At 43.5% G+C, this 19,072-nt stretch overlaps 1 pseudogene; it reads right to left on the reverse strand.

The window, feature by feature from the left end:
• On the reverse strand, positions 5,284–5,950 carry RPS7P9 (ribosomal protein S7 pseudogene 9; annotated as a pseudogene).

Here is a 19,072-nt window from a genome sequence, read left to right on the forward strand (position 1 = left end):
ATCTGCTCTTTGTTTTTCTTTTTAAATTGAAGTTCCTTTGTTCCTCACAGAATAAAATCATTACCTCCTCTTTTTCTCTGAAGGTATATTTACAGAAGCATTTCTTTTCTCATCTGCCTTTTTATTTTGGTTTCTTTAGCTATGCAAAAACTTTAATTGTATATAATTAAATCTGATGATCTATTCTTTGTGATTTTTTTCTATTACATACAAGAAATTTACATACTTGATATTCAATTTTACAGTCTTCTTTTTCTATAATTGGAATTTAATATCTTAATTTGTAGCTCTGTAATACATTTAGAGTTTATTTAAAATATGATTTAAGGAGAAACTCAAAGTTATTATGTTTTCCAAATTTATAACCAACACAAAATGTTGGCAATTTCCTTCCTTTCTATATTTGTTGAATCTTAAATTTTAACACCCATACACCCACCCACCCACACATGCACACTGTCTGTCTCTTGGCTGGTTTTTGTTTTCTTTTTAGCTGCTTATTCGTCTATCTTGATCTTACACTTTTGTAATATAGGGCCTATTCCCTGCCCTGCAGCCCACATTGATCGTCTCATCTAGATAGTTCTCTAAATCAGCTTATCCCAAGCTGTTTCTTGTGTTTCAGTGAAGTCCCTGCAACATATACTGCAAAAATCCTGCCCTATATCTTCAGCAAACTTAAGAGCAAAGCAAACTTCTACTTGCCATGTTTACCCCCAGAACCCTGGAAGTGGTTCTGCGTGTATGGCACTTGCCTCACTTTCCAAGGTTGGGAGACCAGTTGACCCCTCATTTATGCAAATTGATTTTCTCTTCTCCTCTGAGAACAATTTTTTACACCAGAGGTCTTAAGCATCTACAGATTGAATAGTGCTACAAAGGGGTTTCTTATACCGTTACACTGGCACAATGAATGTAAACTCTCCACACACTTGTCAAATTAAGAGGGCCACTTTGGGCAGGATCCGTAGGAGAGACATACTGTTTCTACTGTTACAGTGCTTTGTAGTTTGTTTTGTTAATTTATCTTTTTAATAATGTAGCTTCTCCCAACATATTGTAAGTTGAGGGAGGGCAGGAAACAGTGCTGAGCACAGAATCAATCACAAGGTTGAGGTTTAATTACTATTAGAGAATAATTAACTCTTAAGCCACCCTCTCCTTCAAACCAGTCTATTGAACAGCCAGGCAAATGAACAACCATCACACAATCAGGCAGGTGCAGTGACAAAATTGTCAAGGCGATCTCCCAAGTTGACATAAATCAGTTGTGTTTGTATGCAATCGGGTTGTGTCAGTTATTGGATCTAGATTCTGTGGCAAATTCACACATAAATCAGACACAATTTCCTTCCTCAAGGAACTCAGAATCTCTGAGGATAAATGACACATTAGCTTAAATATAATTTAAAGGGGAAAACTGATTAGTGCCACACAATCTGTGTATCAGGACAGAGAAGAAAGGAAGAGAAGAATCATTTTTTTCCCATTAACCTTTGGAGATAAGAAACACCATAATTTTGGTCTTATTAAAGGCCGCCCCATGATTAATATTTCCATCTAAGAAGCAATTAAGGAATTATTATCCAGGGAGATTGTGACAAAAGGAATTAAGCCATGCCAGCTCTGTTCAGGCAGAATGAGGCTTAGCTTTAAGTATTGAAAATAAAGTCTATTTAGATGAAAAGCTTACATTTTGTCTTTAACTTTTTGCTCAGGTGCTGTATAAGAACCACTGACTGGATGAGTAAAAAATTATCTAGAACTGCTCAGCAAATACAATCTACAGTGCTAAATGGAATACATTATAATCATGGCATGATAATCAGAAGAATAATACTTTAACATATGTAGTAAGCTCCAAGGGGCAACAACTGTTTGAATCTGTTAAAGTACTAGCATTTTGAGATATAAAACTGTACATTTCCATGTTGTAGGAAGTACTTAATTATTTCCAACTGTTATTGAAATAGTGGGGAAATCATCTTGCCTCAGTACCGTAATCACAGTGTTCACAAGTGCATTTAATTATACACATTTCATCAGGAAATTTTGCAAACCCAGTTATTTTTTAAGGTGTTAAATGGGAAGGGTTTCTATAATGTGCGTAAAACAACTTAAAAAATACACAAGATATCACCTAAAAATAGGTATGTTTTCCATATCTATGGATTTATAGAGGAGTAGAAGAGGAAAAGACCCTCTCTTTTCTCAGGAGAAAATAGTGTGCCAGAGACCAGTTGTCTTGCCAAAAAACGTAGGGCCAAGAGCAAAACCTGTGTTTTATCTTCTGTGTAGTGCTTGGAATCCTATATGTTGCTGTCTTTGGCAGACCTTTTTCTGGAAGGAATGAGCTTTTTATCTACCCATTTGAGAGACAGAGACACTGAGGTGTTGCATCGTGAAACAACATAGCTTAGCCATGTGGGTGGTGAGCCATGTGGGTGGCTGACCAGGATTAGAGTCGACTTGCTACGTGCTTAGTCGACTTGGTATGTTCTGCTGCCCCCTGCGTCGCACCTGGCTCAGAGCTGGGCTCCTCCAGCGACACCGTCCTCTGCAATAAGTTCAGGGTTTTCTAGCTGCTCCCTCTTCACACGGTTGAAGAGGTTGCAGCTCCTCCTGGAACCATTAAGGGCTATCAGGAAGAGGCCTGGAAGTTCCTGTGGATGAAGTTAGAGCAGTTTTATTACCAGAATCTGCTTCAAGTTAGCAAGCGTTTATCAAGCACTTGCTCTAGAAGCTGGAAAGAATGAATAAAACAAGAAGCTTTCTTCAAAGAGCTTATAGTCGTGGAGAGAGAGCGGCCAGAGGGAATAAACAGGAGAGGGTATTGTAAGTCCTTGGCGCTGGGAGGTGGTTTTGGAATGACAGGCGTCTCATTCCACATTGGAGTTGAAAAGTTTCTTTCCTCTGAATGTCTGAATTTCCATAGATCCCAGTGCAGTGACAGTCTACTCATTCCTTGAACCCACCAGCTTCAAAAGACTTGTCTATGCTAGTCATTTCTTTTAGCTCTTTTCAGAAATGTTCCACGTGATTAATGTTACATTAAAAAACCTCTGCTTTGGCTATGTTTTGCCATAGATTTCACACGGCTGAAACTGTCAGTAGGTCATGCTGCGTGATAAATTAGCCACTGTGGGGCCGTTGTCATATTTCCTCCCTACAATGTCATTGCTCAAAATTACACCTGAGATGGACAACAGAGCCCTGGGTACAGAGGATTCTCCCGATGTGATTCCCAGACCCTTGATAGGCAGCAGGTACCAGCGGAGCTCCTCATAGAAGACTGATTCTCTTCCTCAGCAACTGCTGACAGTGGATCTCTAAATCGCTGCAGGCTTACAGGTTTCTTTTCACCACTGTTTATGATGCCTGTTTCTCTTTTTCTAGGTGGTACACTTGAACACTGTGTGAAGACACTGCCTTCATCATTTCTTGGGAAGTCCTGAATTACCCCGAGGTGAGACATGGCATTTGACTAAGTGAGCCACAGGCCCTCATCACCACCTCACGGGGGATGCGACTCCGCCGGGGAGGGTGTGAGTGTAGGGGGTCAAGACAGCCTTCCCCTGGGCTGGCCTGGGTGCTTACCGTGTCCACCTTTTATCGTGAATGCACTGAGTTTTCATCCCCTCCTGCTCATAGGACTTCTCCAAAGTGGGAACAACGCAAACCACTCGGTTTCTGCTCAGGAAACTACAATCACTGCTGCTTCTCCTTGAGGCTGTACGCAGGGCACCTTGGGGAGAGTTTGGCGGTTTGCATATTCTCTGATCAAATTTGCCTGGTTCGTTCCCACATGGCCTGTTATAGTGTGTGTGGTGGCTTAACCCGAAAGGGCAACCTTATTTTTATATCTTCTGGTGTTAGAAGTCTGCATACCTTGAGAGGAATAGCAGCTGCTATTTCCTTTACATTTTCATGGCAATTGATAGGGAAGGCTGGAGGAGATCTGAAGCCAGCCTCTAATTCTTGCTCACCCAGGCAGGGGGAAAACCATCAGACAGGCGTGGCTGACTGAGCAGTGTTCCCTCAGGTCCAGTAGGACTTCTGTTTTCAGGTTATCCAAGTTGCAGTGTGTCATCCCTGTGGCTCTTGGCCTGTGGTGAGCACACTGGTCTGGACCTTTGCTGCCTGTGGGTCTTTATGATTTACGGAAGATCCTCTGACTCTGTGTCATTTCACCCAGAGTTCATGTTCTTGCCCACGTTCCGGCTTTGGAGGGAGGCCCTTTCTGCTCACACACTCACTCATGAGCTGGCCTCACGACCACTGCCTTGCTCCTTGGTGTGGCTCTGAACATGCCTGCTTTCTTTGTCCACCCACCAGCCAATTCTGCTGCTAGATTCTGGGGATAGTGCCTTCTTTACTCCACAGGGTGATGGGGGAGATTCTCTCTCAGCAAGGGCAACTGTCTGATTAAGATGGGACTGAAAACAGACCTGTTTGAGCAGAACCCAGGCTTCCATGACAGTCCACGTGCCACCACCCCATGAAATATCAGTGAATGACTGCATCTGCTCCTTGGTGGAAGAAATCAGTATTATATTGGTTACTACTACTTGACCACTCTTGAGTGGGTTGCACATCAATAAGGTAGATGATTAGAATATGAATAATTGCTGGCATTTGGTTTTTGGCTAAATGGAAAAGCCCCATGTTGTCCCTAGATGGGCTGCCTCAGTGGGGAGTGGGCCTCCTCCATGCTGACCTGAATTGCACCTGTTGGAGATGCTGGAGGGGCAGCCATTACTCCCTTCCTGGTGGAGAAGGGGTAGACAGCCTTTGTCTTTCCTCAGTGGGTGCTGATGGTGGTCATTATCCGGCAGAGCACGACTGCCTCTTCGTTTCCGTGGATACTACTCTGGTCCAAACCATCTCTGTTTCTGGGACTACTGCGTGGCCCTCTTCACTGATTTCTCTGTGCCTACCTGGCCTTGCATCTTTCTGTACATTTTCCACTCTGTAGCTGGCATTCTGTGAATAAGGCCACATCACTTAGAGTTCAGCAGCTTCCCACTGCACTGGGAATGAGGTGCAAACATCTTACTGTGGCCTACGGGGATTTATAAGATCTGGCCCAGCTTACCTGCATCCTGGTCTCAAACCACCCTCCCCCTGTTCATGAGCACTGGCCCTTCCCTGTCTCAGGCCTTCAGCACTGGCAGCTCCCTCTGCATGGAGAGTTCTTCACGTGTTTAGGTCTGTCTCATTCTGCAGATTTGCTCAAATGTCCTTTCTTCAGATAAACCTTTCTTCTTCTAAATGCGAATATACTTTAGTCATTTTTGTTTATAGTGGAAACTCTGGAAATTCACAATTAACACCTTTGCCCAGGAGATCTTTGTAGACACCAGAAAAAGTTTCAACCTTGTGCCCCACGTGGTTCTGCTGTGCTTTGTCCCGATGAACTTTCCTGAGCTGAATGCTAGCCGGTTTCACACAGATTCTTTTGCTCCCAATTTCACTTGGGCAGACCAAGTCTTCAAGGATTGCATCATGTGTGGCTGTTAGGGTGCAGATCCTGGGATACTTTTGCTTATTTTTTGTATCATTTTTTTCAAGTCGGCATAGGCAGAGTTCTCCTCTGAGCAATAAATACAGCATGCTTCCCACCGAACTTTTTCTCCAATTCATGTACTATCTGGACTTGAATTTTCTGGAAAGAACTCAGCTGAGGAATGGGAACAATGATTATAATAAGCTTCCTGACCACCATCAACTTCAGGTTTCTTGACTGCTGTTATTTTCAGCTCCCTGAGCTGAGCCTTGAGATCCAAGTTCATCTTCAGCTCCAGAAGACCCTGGAGATGCTGGACTTGAACTTGTCTGGCTTCTCACCATTGGGCTTCATGATCTTGGTGCTTGAACTGAACATGGCCTTCTCCTTCCTAAATGCCAGCCTAGGAAGAGGCCCAAGTCTCACGAGAGCTGATAAATCAAATAAACCTTTCTTGACCATTATCTATAGCATCCCTAACCTTACCTTGCCCTGGTACCCTCTGTAACATCACCCTTTATATGCTCATCAGAGCACTGATTTTCTGAAATTATCTTTGTCGTTGTTGTTGATTAGACCATCAGAAAAACATACTATTGAATAGAGCTCCCTACAAAGCTCTAGGTGTGTGAATATTTGGCCAAAACTTCTAGAGTCATTTCAAAGCCACACATGGCCAGGAATATGACAATGGAAAGAAGCTTGTCTAAAACATTGTTTCCATATATTTTGAGGTTTGGTTATCTCTTGCAGGCCAGAGTCTGTTTCCTCATCTGTAGTCAGAACAGTAGGAAAGGAACCGAACATGCTCTTATGATCTTTTCTGCTCTGAATTTTGATGATTTTGACATATGATCCACTGTCTTTCGGGGATCCCTATCTTCTCAGATTCTAAAATGGGAATAATGGCACACAGATATTTATGACATTCCTATAGATGTGTATTTATGAGATGGCTGTATTGTATTAACTAATCTTTAAATTTTTTTTTCTCAGTAGAATGGTTTCTCTGATTTAGTTTTACTTCTGAGTTAGTTTTTAGTCTGCAAGCAAACATTCACAGTTTTGTAAGAGTAAGAGACTTGTATGTGGGGAGCATGCACAGTGCATTCATGAGTTGCGAGCCAGGCCTTAAAGCGTGTGCGGCAGGGTTCCATCTGGTCACGTATGGAGAGGGAGCTGTCCTTCCCCTCTTGTCCTCTTGCAGGCCCAGACCTGTAGGGGCAGGAAGATAATTATCACCTCCTAGGATGCTTGGAATCTCCTCTCATCTTGGAAGGACTATCCTTGTGCTGGTCCTCAGAAAGAAAGAGACCCACACAGAGAATTATTTCCTTAGCTCTGAGCCTCTCTGTGTATACATGTGCCTGTCACACTTGAACTTTGATCATGAGACTCATGCAGAATTCAATGTAGAGAGAAGTGCTGGCTGAGGAGGTGCCAAAGCCCCCCTACTTGGTGATGATAATGAATGTGGGCAGCCACTCTGTGCTGAGTCACTGTGGGAGTCCAGTGGGCTTTGGCCAAGGCTGCTGCATGGAGCTGCCTCCCACCATTGCCTCCCACAGTTAGCAAGATCAGACTGTCCAGAGGGCAGCGGATGTCAGACATGAAAACACTCCTCTCTGCTGGGGCTGCCTCTCGTCCCACCAGGCAATCTGCTGAGAGGAGGTGGGCGGGGAAGGCCTAACCCATGCAGTCTGAACCCTGGGAGAGTGTGAGGGTGGTTACCTGACAAGATGGGAAATGTGCCATACTTTTCAGGACCAATTTAAGTCCCTTTCTCAGCTTGCTTGGAACCTCACACTTGTAGGGGCTGGTCCTGTGCTGTGCACTGTGCCTAGTGATCCACATTCTCTGTGTCATTTAGTCTTGACAGCATCATGTGAGGCAGGACTTTTTTTTTTCTAAAAAAGAAGGGGCTCTTGAATTTTAAAACACAGTTGGTACCTGGAAGCAAGATGTTTTACAGCAAAGTTTTCTTTGCTGTATAACAAACCATCTCAAAACTTAGTGACATAAAAACCACCATCATTTTATTATGCTCACAGATTCTGTGGGTTAGGAGTCTGGGGAGGGCACAGTGAGGATGTCTTGTCTCTGTGCCAACAAGAATTCCCATGACTGTAGGTGACTTGAGTGGGGGCTGATCCCTGAAGTGGGATGTTTGGAAAGCTGGGTTCAGCTTGGACTGTTGCCCAGAGCACCTACATGTGGCCTCTATATGCAAACGTGGGCTTATCCCCACATGGTGGGACCGTCAGGGACCAAGCATCCTGAGGACCAAGGCAGGAGTTGCAAGGCCTCTCCTGACCTAGCAAACCACCAAGTTAGGAGTATCACCTTCCTTCTAACTCTATTGGTTAAGACAGTCACAAGTTGGTCCCATGTCAAACATAGGGGACACACAGACCCCATCTTTCAGTAGGATGAGTGTCAAAGAATTTATGGCAGTGTTTTAAAACGGCCACTCAGGAATTGAATCCAGGTTCCCTGACCCTACAGCTATTGCTCTTCCCATTAGACACTATTGCCTGGATGTAGGAGGCAGTATGCTCTGGGGCAGAGGTCCGCAGGGAAATGGAGAATATGTATTTGACATGGCTGTATCACTCAGTCCCTGAGACTCTTTAAAAAAAAAAAAAAACTCAGCATATAGTTGCATGGCTTGGGAGGCAGCTGCTGGAGTGGCAGCAGCCTGGGCAGCTTTGGATGACCTGTACACAGGTCTAGGTCTTCCTCTGCACCAAGGGGATAACCACAGCATCCCCTTGCTTACTGTAAGGATGCAGTGCCCAGGGGAGGTGAAAGCCTGAAGGACATTCCAGACTACTCTGCAGACAGGAGGCAGGTCTCTGTCTCTATGAGGAAGCCCTGTGCCCACTGTTCTCAGACACACTCGGGGCCAGTATTCCAAATCCTGCACATATCCCAGAAGCCTAACCAGGTCCCCCAGATGACAGGCTGTTCCATCCACACTATATTGATTCTATTACACATTGTTCATCTGCCAATTCATCACATCCTGGAAAGAATAATAAACTTGGAATCACAATGTCCTCCTAAAGTCTTGGTGCCATGAAATAATGGGTCCGTAACCATGGGCATATCACATAGCCTTCTACAGCCTCCGTTTTCCACAAAACAGTGATCAGTGTATCTGTTTCTCAGAAAAGTTATGAAGACTGAGTTTGTATGAGAAAGTGTTTTCCTGTCTGATAAGCATAATATATACTAGATGTTTTTATTATTGCCATTTCCGATAATACTTAGCAAGCAGAGTGTTGCACTCACAGCACGCGCTTAATAAATATGTACACTTTAGTCTTGATTTACTCCAGACCCCAGATGAAGTTCACGGTAGAAGGAGATTGGAACTGTTATCTTCTGTCCCACTTGGGGACATATGTCACAGAAGTCCTTTTATATGAATTGGCTGTGCTTTTTCTTACCCTGCCAAGCTGGAAGAGGGATGGCAGGCTTTTGGAGCTGACATAACTACAGCATTGATTAAGAAAAAATAACTGACTGTCAATTTAATTAAATAGCTAGGGATATGCAGCCCCAGTCTCAGGCTATTTCCTTCAGGGCAAAACTAGCGTGGGAAGGGTGATCTGGGCCTGTGATCTGGTGGCTCCTCTTCCAGGAGATTTCGGAAGTTGAATAAATTTTCACGACTACTCACTTCATCCATCAGAGACTCAATTAAATTAATCTATGAAATATATGGAAATAGTTCTTTCCACACCAAGCCTCTGCAAAAAGGTTGACTAGAGCAAACTCGCAAGTGACAAATCTTGGTGCAAGTCACATTTCTGAAAATTTTCAATCCACTCTATTTTTATTGTAATCAATGGATCTGTGTTTTAAACAGCAGGCATTTATTAGTTCCCCACTGTGTGCTCAGTAGCTGCGTTAGAAGCTATGTGGACTACAGAGTAGGAGAAGCTGTCCTTGCATTTATGACTTTTTTTGGTGTCTGTTCTGAGAAAATCTTTTAGTGTACAATACTGAATATTCATAAAAGGATTTTGTGCCAGACCAGACAGAGAGCCTGAGAGAAGCATCAGGGCTGGGCCAGGCCACTGGAGAAACAACACAGGCATCCGTGTTTGAGGTATATTTAGTTCTATTTCCTTCTAAATGGCTGTGCAATATGGGCAAGTTGTTTAACCAGTATCAATTTGATTCTTATCTTTTGTACTAGTCAGTACTCATGCTGTTAAAAAAGACATACGTGAGACTGGGTAATTTATGAAGAAAAAGAGGTTTAATGAACTCACAGGTCCACGATGCCTGGGGAAACCTCACAGTCATGTCAGAAGGCAAAGGAGGAGAAAGTCATGTCTTACATGGTGGCAGGCAAGAGAGTAGGTGCAGGGGAACTCCCCTTTATAAAACCATCAGATGTAACGAGACTTATTTCACTATCATGAGAACAGCATGGGAAAAACCCACCCCCGTGATTAAATTACATCCCACTGGGTCCCTTCCACAACACGTGGGGATTATTACAATTCAAGGTGAGATTTGGGTGGGGACACAAAGCTAAACTATATCACCTTTATAACAGGCCTTATACAGGACACTGTTGATAGAATCCAATGAGGTCTAGAGAGCAAGGCTTCGAACTCACCCAACTCAGTAAATACTTGTTAGTCTTGTGTATGGAAGGTCAGCGGGGATGGCATTGGATGGGTTCTTTTTTTTTTTCTGAGACAGAGTCTCGCTCTGTCGCCCAGGCTGGAGTGCAGTGGTGTGATCTCCGCTCACTGCAAGCTCCACCTCCCTGGGTTCACACCATTCTCCTGCCTCAGCCTCCCGAGTAGCTGGGACTACAGGCACCCACCACCATGCCCGGCTAATTTTTTGTATTTTTAGTAGAGATGGGGTTTCACTGTGTTAGCCAGGATGGTCTCAATCTCCTGACCTTGTGATCTGCCTGCCTCAGCTTCCCAAAGTGCTGGGATTACAGGCGTGAGCCACCGTGCCCAGCCTTGGATGGGCTTTTGATGAACTATCTCTGCCTCAAGAACCACTCCCAAAACTTAGTGGTTTAAACAACAACCGTGACTCTTGGGTTGACTGGGGCTCAGCAGGCCAGTGCCTTTTCACTTTGAAGATGGTGCTGGATACTTGTGCTGCTCCATGTGGCATCTGGACCTCTGGGGCTTCTCCACATTGGCCTCTTTCTCTATGCTAGACTTTTCACATGGTCAGCCTGGGGCTCCAAGAGAAAGAATTAGAAGTGGTCAGGCTTTCTCAGTGCCTGGGCTTGCAAGTCTCAGGATGGTGCTTCTCCACATTTTTACTGGTCAAAGCAGTTACAGGCCTAGCGAGAAATAAAGCTCAGATTCTACCTCCTGAAAGGAAGGCAGAGATGATTGGGGATAGTCTTGGGCCCCTTGAAACCCCAGCTGCAGAGCCCTTCCCCAACAGCCTCTTGGTGTTTGGGAGACATGCAGGTCCCGTTTTCTGTTATGATCATCCACATGCATTTTGAATAGAGGGAGGAAAACCCGTTGCTGTCAGGTAGGTGGGTGGGTCAGCCACTTCTTTGATGTGTAGTCTTTCTCAGATCCAGTTCTTTGATGTCTAGGACTTCAAGTTTGACTTTGCCAGGTCAGGGCAGTTAGGGTTTTTTTTTTTTTTTTTCTCCTAAGGTTCTCAAGGACTTATTTACATGAACAAATCTCACAGGGGAGTGATGTGTAACTTAGATTATTATGTGTTTATTTACAATGGCACAGTTACTTTTTCTTCAACAAAACATCTGGGAGGCTGAATTCTTTTTTTTTTTTTTCTTATTTATTTACTTATTTATTTTTATTATTATACTTTCAGTTTTAGGGTACATGTGCACATTGTGCAGGTTAGTTACATATGTATACATGTGCCATGCTGGTGCGCTGCACCCACTAACTCGTCATCTAGCATTAGGTATATCTCCCAATGCTATCCCTCCCCCCTCCCCCCACCCCACCACAGTCCCCAGAGTGTGATATTCCCCTTCCTGTGTCCATGTGATCTCATTGTTCAATTCCCACCTATGAGTGAGAATATGCGGTGTTTGGTTTTTTGTTCTTGCGATAGTTTACTGAGAATGATGATTTCCAGTTTCATCCATGTCCCTACAAAGGACATGAACTCATCATTTTTTACGGCTGCATAGTATTCCATGGTGTATATGTGCCACATTTTCTTAATCCAGTCTATCATTGTTGGACATTTGGGTTGGTTCCAAGTCTTTGCTATTGTGAATAATGCCGCAATAAACATACGTGTGCATGTGTCTTTATAGCAGCATGATTTATAGTCCTTTGGGTATATACCCAGTAATGGGATGGCTGGGTCAAATGGTATTTCCAGTTCTAGATCCCTGAGGAATCGCCACACTGACTTCCACAATGGTTGAACTAGTTTACAGTCCCACCAACAGTGTAAAAGTGTTCCTATTTCTCCACATCCTCTCCAGCACCTGTTGTTTCCTGACTTTTTAATGATTGCCATTCTAACTGGTGTGAGATGGTATCTCATTGTGGTTTTGATTTGCATTTCTCTGATGGCCAGTGATGGTGAGCATTTTTTCATGTGTTTTTTGGCTGCATAAATGTCTTCTTTTGAGAAGTGTCTGTTCATGTCCTTCGCCCACTTTTTGATGGGGTTGTTTGTTTTTTTCTTGTAAATTTGTTTGAGTTCATTGTAGATTCTGGATATTAGCCCTTTGTCAGATGAGTAGGTTGCGAAAATTTTCTCCCATTTTGTAGGTTGCCTGTTCACCCTGATGGTAGTTTCTTTTGCTGTGCAGAAGCTCTTTAGTTTAATTAGATCCCATTTGTCAATTTTGGCTTTTGTTGCCATTGCTTTTGGTGTTTTGGACATGAAGTCCTTGCCCATGCCTATGTCCTGAATGGTAATGCCTAGGTTTTCTTCTAGGGTTTTTATGGTTTTAGGTCTAACGTTTAAGTCTTTAATCCATCTTGAATTGATTTTTGTATAAGGTATAAGGAAGGGATCCAGTTTCAGCTTTGTACATATGGCTAGCCAGTTTTCCCAGCACCATTTATTAAATAGGGAATCCTTTCCCCATTGCTTGTTTTTCTCAGGTTTGTCAAAGATCAGATAGTTGTAGATATGCGGCGTTATTTCTGAGGGCTCTGTTCTGTTCCATTGATCTATATCTCTGTTTTGATACCAGTACCATGCTGTTTTGGTTACTGTAGCCTTGTAGTATAGCTTGAAGTCAGGTAGTGTGATGCCTCCAGCTTTGTTCTTTTGGCTTAGGATTGCCTTGGCGATGTGGGCTCTTTTTTGGTTCCATATGAACTTTAAAGTAGTTTTTTCCAATTCTGTGAAGAAAGTCATTGGTAGCTTTATGGGGATGGCATTGAATCTGTAAATTACCTTGGGCAGTATGGCCATTTTCACGATATTGATTCTTCCTACCCATGAGCATGGAATGTTCTTCCATTTGTTTGTATCCTCTTTTATTTCCTTGAGCAGTGGTTTGTAGTTCTCCTTGAAGAGGTCCTTCACATCCCTTGTAAGTTGGATTCCTAGGTATTTTATTCTCTTTGAAGCAATTGTGAATGGGAGTTCACTCATGATTTGGCTCTCTGTTTGTCTGTTATTGGTGTATAAGAATGCTTGTGATTTTTATACATTGATTTTGTATCCTGAGACTTTGCTGAAGTTGCTTATCAGCTTAAGGAGATTTTGGGCTGAAACAATGGGTTTTTCTAGATATACAATCATGTCGTCTGCAAACAGGGACAATTTGACTTCCTCTTTTCCTAATTGAATACCCTTTATTTCCTTCTCCTGCCTAATTGCCCTGGCCAGAACTTCCAACACTATGTTGAATAGGAGTGATGAGAGAGGGCATCCCTGTCTTGTGTCAGTTTTCAAAGGGAATGCTTCCAGTTTTTGCCCATTCAGTATGATATTGACTGTGGGTTTGTCATAGATAGCTCTTATTATTTTGAAATACGTTCCATCAATACCTAATTTATTGAGAGTTTTTAGCATGAAGGGTTGTTGAATTTTGTCAAAGGCTTTTTCTGCATCTATTGAGATAATCATGTGGTTTTTGTCTTTGGCTCTGTTTATATGCTGGATTACATTTATTGATTTGTGTATATTGAACCAGCCTTGCATCCCAGGGATGAAGCCCACTTGGTCATGGTGGATAAGCTTTTTGATGTGCTGCTGGATTCGTTTTGCCAGTATTTTATTGAGGATTTTTGCATCAATGTTCATCAAGGATATTGGTCTAAAATTCTCTTTTTTGGTTGTGTCTCTGCCTGGCTTTGGTATCAGAATGATGCTGGCCTCATAAAATGAGTTAGGGAGGATTCCCTCTTTTTCTATTGATTGGAATAGTTTCAGACGGAATGGTACCAGTTCCTCCTTGTACCTCTGATAGAATTCGGCTGTGAATCCATGTGGTCCTGGACTCTTTTTGGTTGGTAAACTATTGACTATTGCCACAATTTCAGCTCCTGTTATTGGTCTATTCAGAGATTCAACTTCTTCCTGGTTTAGTCTTGGGAGAGTGTATGTGTCGAGGAATTTATCCATTTCTTCTAGATTTTGTAGTTTATTTGCATAGAGGTGTTTGTAGTATTCTCTGATGGTAGTTTGTATTTCTGTGGGATCAGTGGTGATATCCCCTTTATCATTTTTTATTGTGTCTATTTGATTCTTCTCTTTTTTTTTTCTTTATTAGTCTTGCTAGCGGTCTATCAATTTTGTTGATCCTTTCAAAAAACCAGCTCCTGGATTCATTAATTTTTTGAAGGGTTTTTTGTATCTCTATTTCCTTCAGTTCTGCTCTGATCTTAGTTATTTCTTGCCTTCTGCTAGCTTTTGAATGTGTTTGCTCTTGCTTTTCTAGTTCTTTTAATTGTGATATTAGGGTGTCAATTTTGGATCTTTCCTGCTTTCTCTTGTGGGCATTTAGTGCTATAAATTTCCCTCTACACACTGCTTTGAATGTGTCCCAGAGATTCTGGTATGTTGTGTCTTCGTTCTCATTGGTTTCAAAGCACATCTTTATTTCTGCCTTCATTTCATTATGTATTCAGTAGTCATTCAGGAGCAGGTTGTTCAGTTTCCATGTAGTTGAGCGGTTTTGAGTGAGATTCTTAATCCTGAGTTCTAGTTTGATTGCACTGTGGTCTGAGAGATAGTTTGTTATAATCTCTGTTCTTTTACATTTGCTGAGGAGAGCTTTACTTCCAAGTATGTGGTCAATTTTGGAATAGGTGTGGTGTGGTGCTGAAAAAAATGTATATTCTGTTGATTTGGGGTGGAGAGTTCTGTAGATGTCTATTAGGTCCGCTTGGTGCAGAGCTGAGTTCAATTCCTGGGTATCCTTGTTGACTTTCTGTCTCGTTGATCTGTCTAATGTTGACAGTGGGGTGTTAAAGTCTCCCATTATTAATGTGTGGGAGTCTAAGTCTCTTTGTAGGTCTCTAAGGACTTGCTTTATGAATCTGGGTGCTCCTGTATTGGGTGCATATATATTTAGGATAGTTAGCTTTTCTTGTTGAATTGATCCCTTTACCATTATGTAATGGCCTTCTTTGTCTCTTTTGATCTTTGTTGGTTTAAAGTCTGTTTTATCAGACACTAGGATTGCAACCCCTGCCTTTTTTTGTTTTCCATTGGCTTGGTAGATCTTCCTCCATCCTTTTATTTTGAGCCTATGTGTGTCTCTGCACGTGAGATGGGTTTCCTGAATACAGCACACTGATGGGTCTTGACTCTTTATCCAATTTGCCAGTCTGTGTCTTTTAATTGGCACATTTAGTCCATTGACGTTTAAAGCTAATATTGTTATGTGTGAATTTGATCCTGTCATTATGATGTTAGCTGGTGATTTTGCTCGTTAGTTGATGCAGTTTCTTCGTAGTCTCGATGGTCTTTACATTTTGGCATGATTTTGCAGTGGCTGGTACCGGTTGTTCCTTTCCATGTTTAGCGCTTCCTTCAGGAGCTCTTTTAGGGCAGGCCTGGTGGTGACAAAATCTCTCAGCATTTGCTTGTCTGTAAAGTATTTTATTTCTCCTTCACTTATGAAGCTTAGTTTGGCTGGATATGAAATTCTGGGTTGAAAATTCTTTTCTTTAAGAATGTTGAATATTGGCCCCCACTCTCTTCTGGCTTGTAGGGTTTCTGCCGAGAGATCAGCTGTTAGTCTGATGGGCTTCCCTTTGAGGGTAACCTGACCTTTCTCTCTGGCTGCCCTTAACATTTTTTCCTTCATTTCAACTTTGGTGAATCTGACAATTACGTGTCTTGGAGTTGCTCTTCTCGAGGAGTATCTTTGTGGCGTTCTCTGTATTTCCTGAATCTGAACGTTGGCCTGCCTTGCTAGATTGGGGAAGTTCTCCTGGATAATATCCTGAAGAGTGTTTTCCAACTTGGTTCCATTCTCCCCGTCACTTTCAGGTACACCAATCAGACGTAGATTTGGTCTTTTCACATAGTCCCATATTTCTTGGAGGCTTTGCTCATTTCTTTTTATTCTTTTTTCTCTAAACTTCCCTTCTTGCTTCATTTCATTCATTTCATCTTCCATTGCTGATACCCTTTCTTCCAGTTGATCGCATCGGCTCCTGAGGCTTCTGCATTCTTCACGTAGTTCTCGAGCCTTGGTTTTCAGTTCCATCAGCTCCTTTAAGTACTTCTCTGTATTGGTTATTCTAGTTATACATTCTTCTAAATTTTTTTCAAAGTTTTCAACTTCTTTGCCTTTGGTTTGAATGTCCTCCCGTAGCTCAGAGTAATTTGATCGTCTGAAACCTTCTTCTCTCAGCTCGTGAAAGTCATTCTCCATCCAGCTTTGTTCCATTGCTGGTGAGGAACTGCGTTCCTTTGGAGGAGGAGAGGCGCTCTGCGTTTTAGAGTTTCCAGTTTTTCTGTTCTGTTTTTTCCCCATCTTTGTGGTTTTATCTACTTTTGGTCTTTGATGATGGTGATGTACAGATGGGTTTTTGGTGTGGATGTCCTTTCTGTTTGTTAGTTTTCCTTCGAACAGACAGGACCCTCAGCTGCAGGTCTGTTGGAATACCCTGCCGTGTGAGGTGTCAGTGTGCCCCTGCTGGGGGGTGCCTCCCAGTTAGGCTGCTCAGGGGTCGGGGGTCAGGGTTCAGGGACCCCCTTGAGGAGGCAGTCTGCCCGTTCTCAGATCTCCAGCTGTGTGCTGGGAGAACCACTGCTCTCTTCAAAGCTGTCAGACAGGGACATTTAAGTCTGCAGAGGTTACTGCTGTCTTTTTGTTTGTCTGTGCCCTGCCCCCAGAGGTGGAGCCTACAGAGGCAGGCAGGCCTCCTTGAGCTGTGGTGGGCTCCACCCAGTTCGAGCTTCCTGGCTGCTTTGTTTACCTAAGCAAGCCTGGGCAATGATGGGCGCCCCTCCCCCAGCCTCGCTGCCGCCTTGCAGTTTGATCTCAGACTGCTGTGCTATCAATCAGCGAGACTCCGTGGGCATAGGACCCTTGAGCCAGGTGCAGGATATAATCTCGTGGTGCGCCGTTTTTTAAGCCGGTCTGAAAAGCGTAATATTCGGGTTGGAGTGACCCGATTTTCCAGGTGCGTCCGTCACCCCTTTCTTTGACTCGGAAAGGGAACTCCCTGACCCCTTGCGCTTCCCAAGTGAGGCAATGCCTCGCCCTGCTTCGGCTCGTGCACGGTGCGTGCACCCACTGACCTGCGCCCACTGTCTGGCACTCCCTAGTGAGATGAACCCGGTACCTCAGACAGAAATGCAGAAATCACCCGTCTTCTGCGTCGCTCACGCTGGGAGCTGTAGACCGGAGCTGTTCCTATTCGGCCATCTTGGCTCCTCCAGGCTGAATTCTTCATCGGAGAACTTCAGTCATGGACTCAGGCAAGGGCACAGGGATTCTTGAGTAATATCTTATTCAACGTGGAAAACCATGACAGAACTAATCCAATGCAGGGTCTCCAACTTGGCTTTGGCATTTCCTTTTCCAAGGACCATGCAGATCCTGCTTGTGCATATACATTTTTTCCACCTACATTAATACCATTGAGAAAAGTGCAGACACCGAGGAAGGTCTTGATCCGATCTGAATTCTATTCTTCCTGCTATGCCTTGAGAAGGTTCAGATATTTGAGGGTGACTTGCAGAATGCTCATGTCTCCATGCAGCGCTAGCTTCAATAGCATAATTAATTGCCACATTCAGAGTGTGGGTGAGCCATGAAGGCTTTCTGTACATCGACTGTGGCGGAGACAGGCATGCCAACAATATGCCATGGCTCAGAGTGAGTGTGAGAAGTGCTTACACTGGGCAAGCAAACACATTGCCAGGAGAACTTTCAGGAGAGCCACATTCATTTCAAGTGGTCAGAGCCAGGAGGTCTTTATGGAGGAGGTAGCTGGACAAGATTGAAGAGACTGGCTTTTCCAGGGTTCTGGAAAAACATAAAGCGGGGCAGGGGAAAAGCGCATGGCATTTAGGGAATACTGCTAGATTAGTATGAACTCTAAAGGGTCATAGATATGCAGATTGGGATGACTAGTGTGATTATTCACTATGTCTTGTTTTGAATTCTCCAACTAAGGTGAACATTCCTTGAATGTCAAGGCATGTCTTATTCTGAAGTTTCTTGGCACTGACTTTTTATAAGATTAGGTAGTGAGGTGATGGACACTCAAGGGGAGAAGGATGGCAAGGTAGGTAGACTCATTGTCCCTAAGAGAATTCCACCAAATTCCTGACACACTGAATTCAATGAGATACAACACCCACAGATATGTTACCTTACAGGGTAAAAGGGACTTTCCAAATGGAATTAAGATGACTAAGCAGAGATTTTAAAATGGGAGGATTATCATGGATCATCTAGGTAGACCTTGTGTAATCATGCAAGCCCTTAAAACAGAGGAAGAAGAGGAAGCCAGAGATTCAACATTCAGGAAGCATTCAACATGACATGTTGGCTTGATTGAAGGGATCAGGTGTCAAGGAAATGGCAACCTTAGTTCTACAACCACAAGGAACTGAATTCTGCCAATAACTTGAATAAGGCTGGGAGTGGATTCTCCCTCAGAGCCTCCAGATAAGGTCCTAAGTTGGCCAACACCTTGATTTTGGCCTTGTGAGACCCTGAGCAAAGAATCCAGCCACAGCATGCTGGACTTTAAGCTACAGAAACCTTGAGGTGATAAAAGTATGTGTTTTTTAAAAGACACAGTGTATGCATTGTTTGGGTGGCATTGGGAAACTAACAGAGATGACACACTTTCTTCTCCTCATCAGCTTCAGCTCGAGGTTCTCTTTAGTCTTCCGTGGGGAGGCCAGTACCACAGGCGTGTCATTATTGTCTTGGTCTGGAAGAGGTGGCCAATGGGCGGCAATTCATTTGGGATTTGGGGAGTTGGGCTTGACGCTGGGCTCCAGGCTGCTGGACTAGTCTGTGGAAGACACTTGAGAAATGGCTTCCACAGAAGGACACCTGGGCTGCCTTCTTTCCACCCTTGCCTCCTCAGGGGGCCTGAGCAGATATTGGCTTGTCCTGGGCTCCCTTTTCAT

Source organism: Homo sapiens, chromosome 10 (assembly GCF_000001405.40).
Source record: "Homo sapiens chromosome 10, GRCh38.p14 Primary Assembly".
In the NCBI taxonomy this organism is placed as follows: domain Eukaryota; kingdom Metazoa; phylum Chordata; class Mammalia; order Primates; family Hominidae; genus Homo; species Homo sapiens.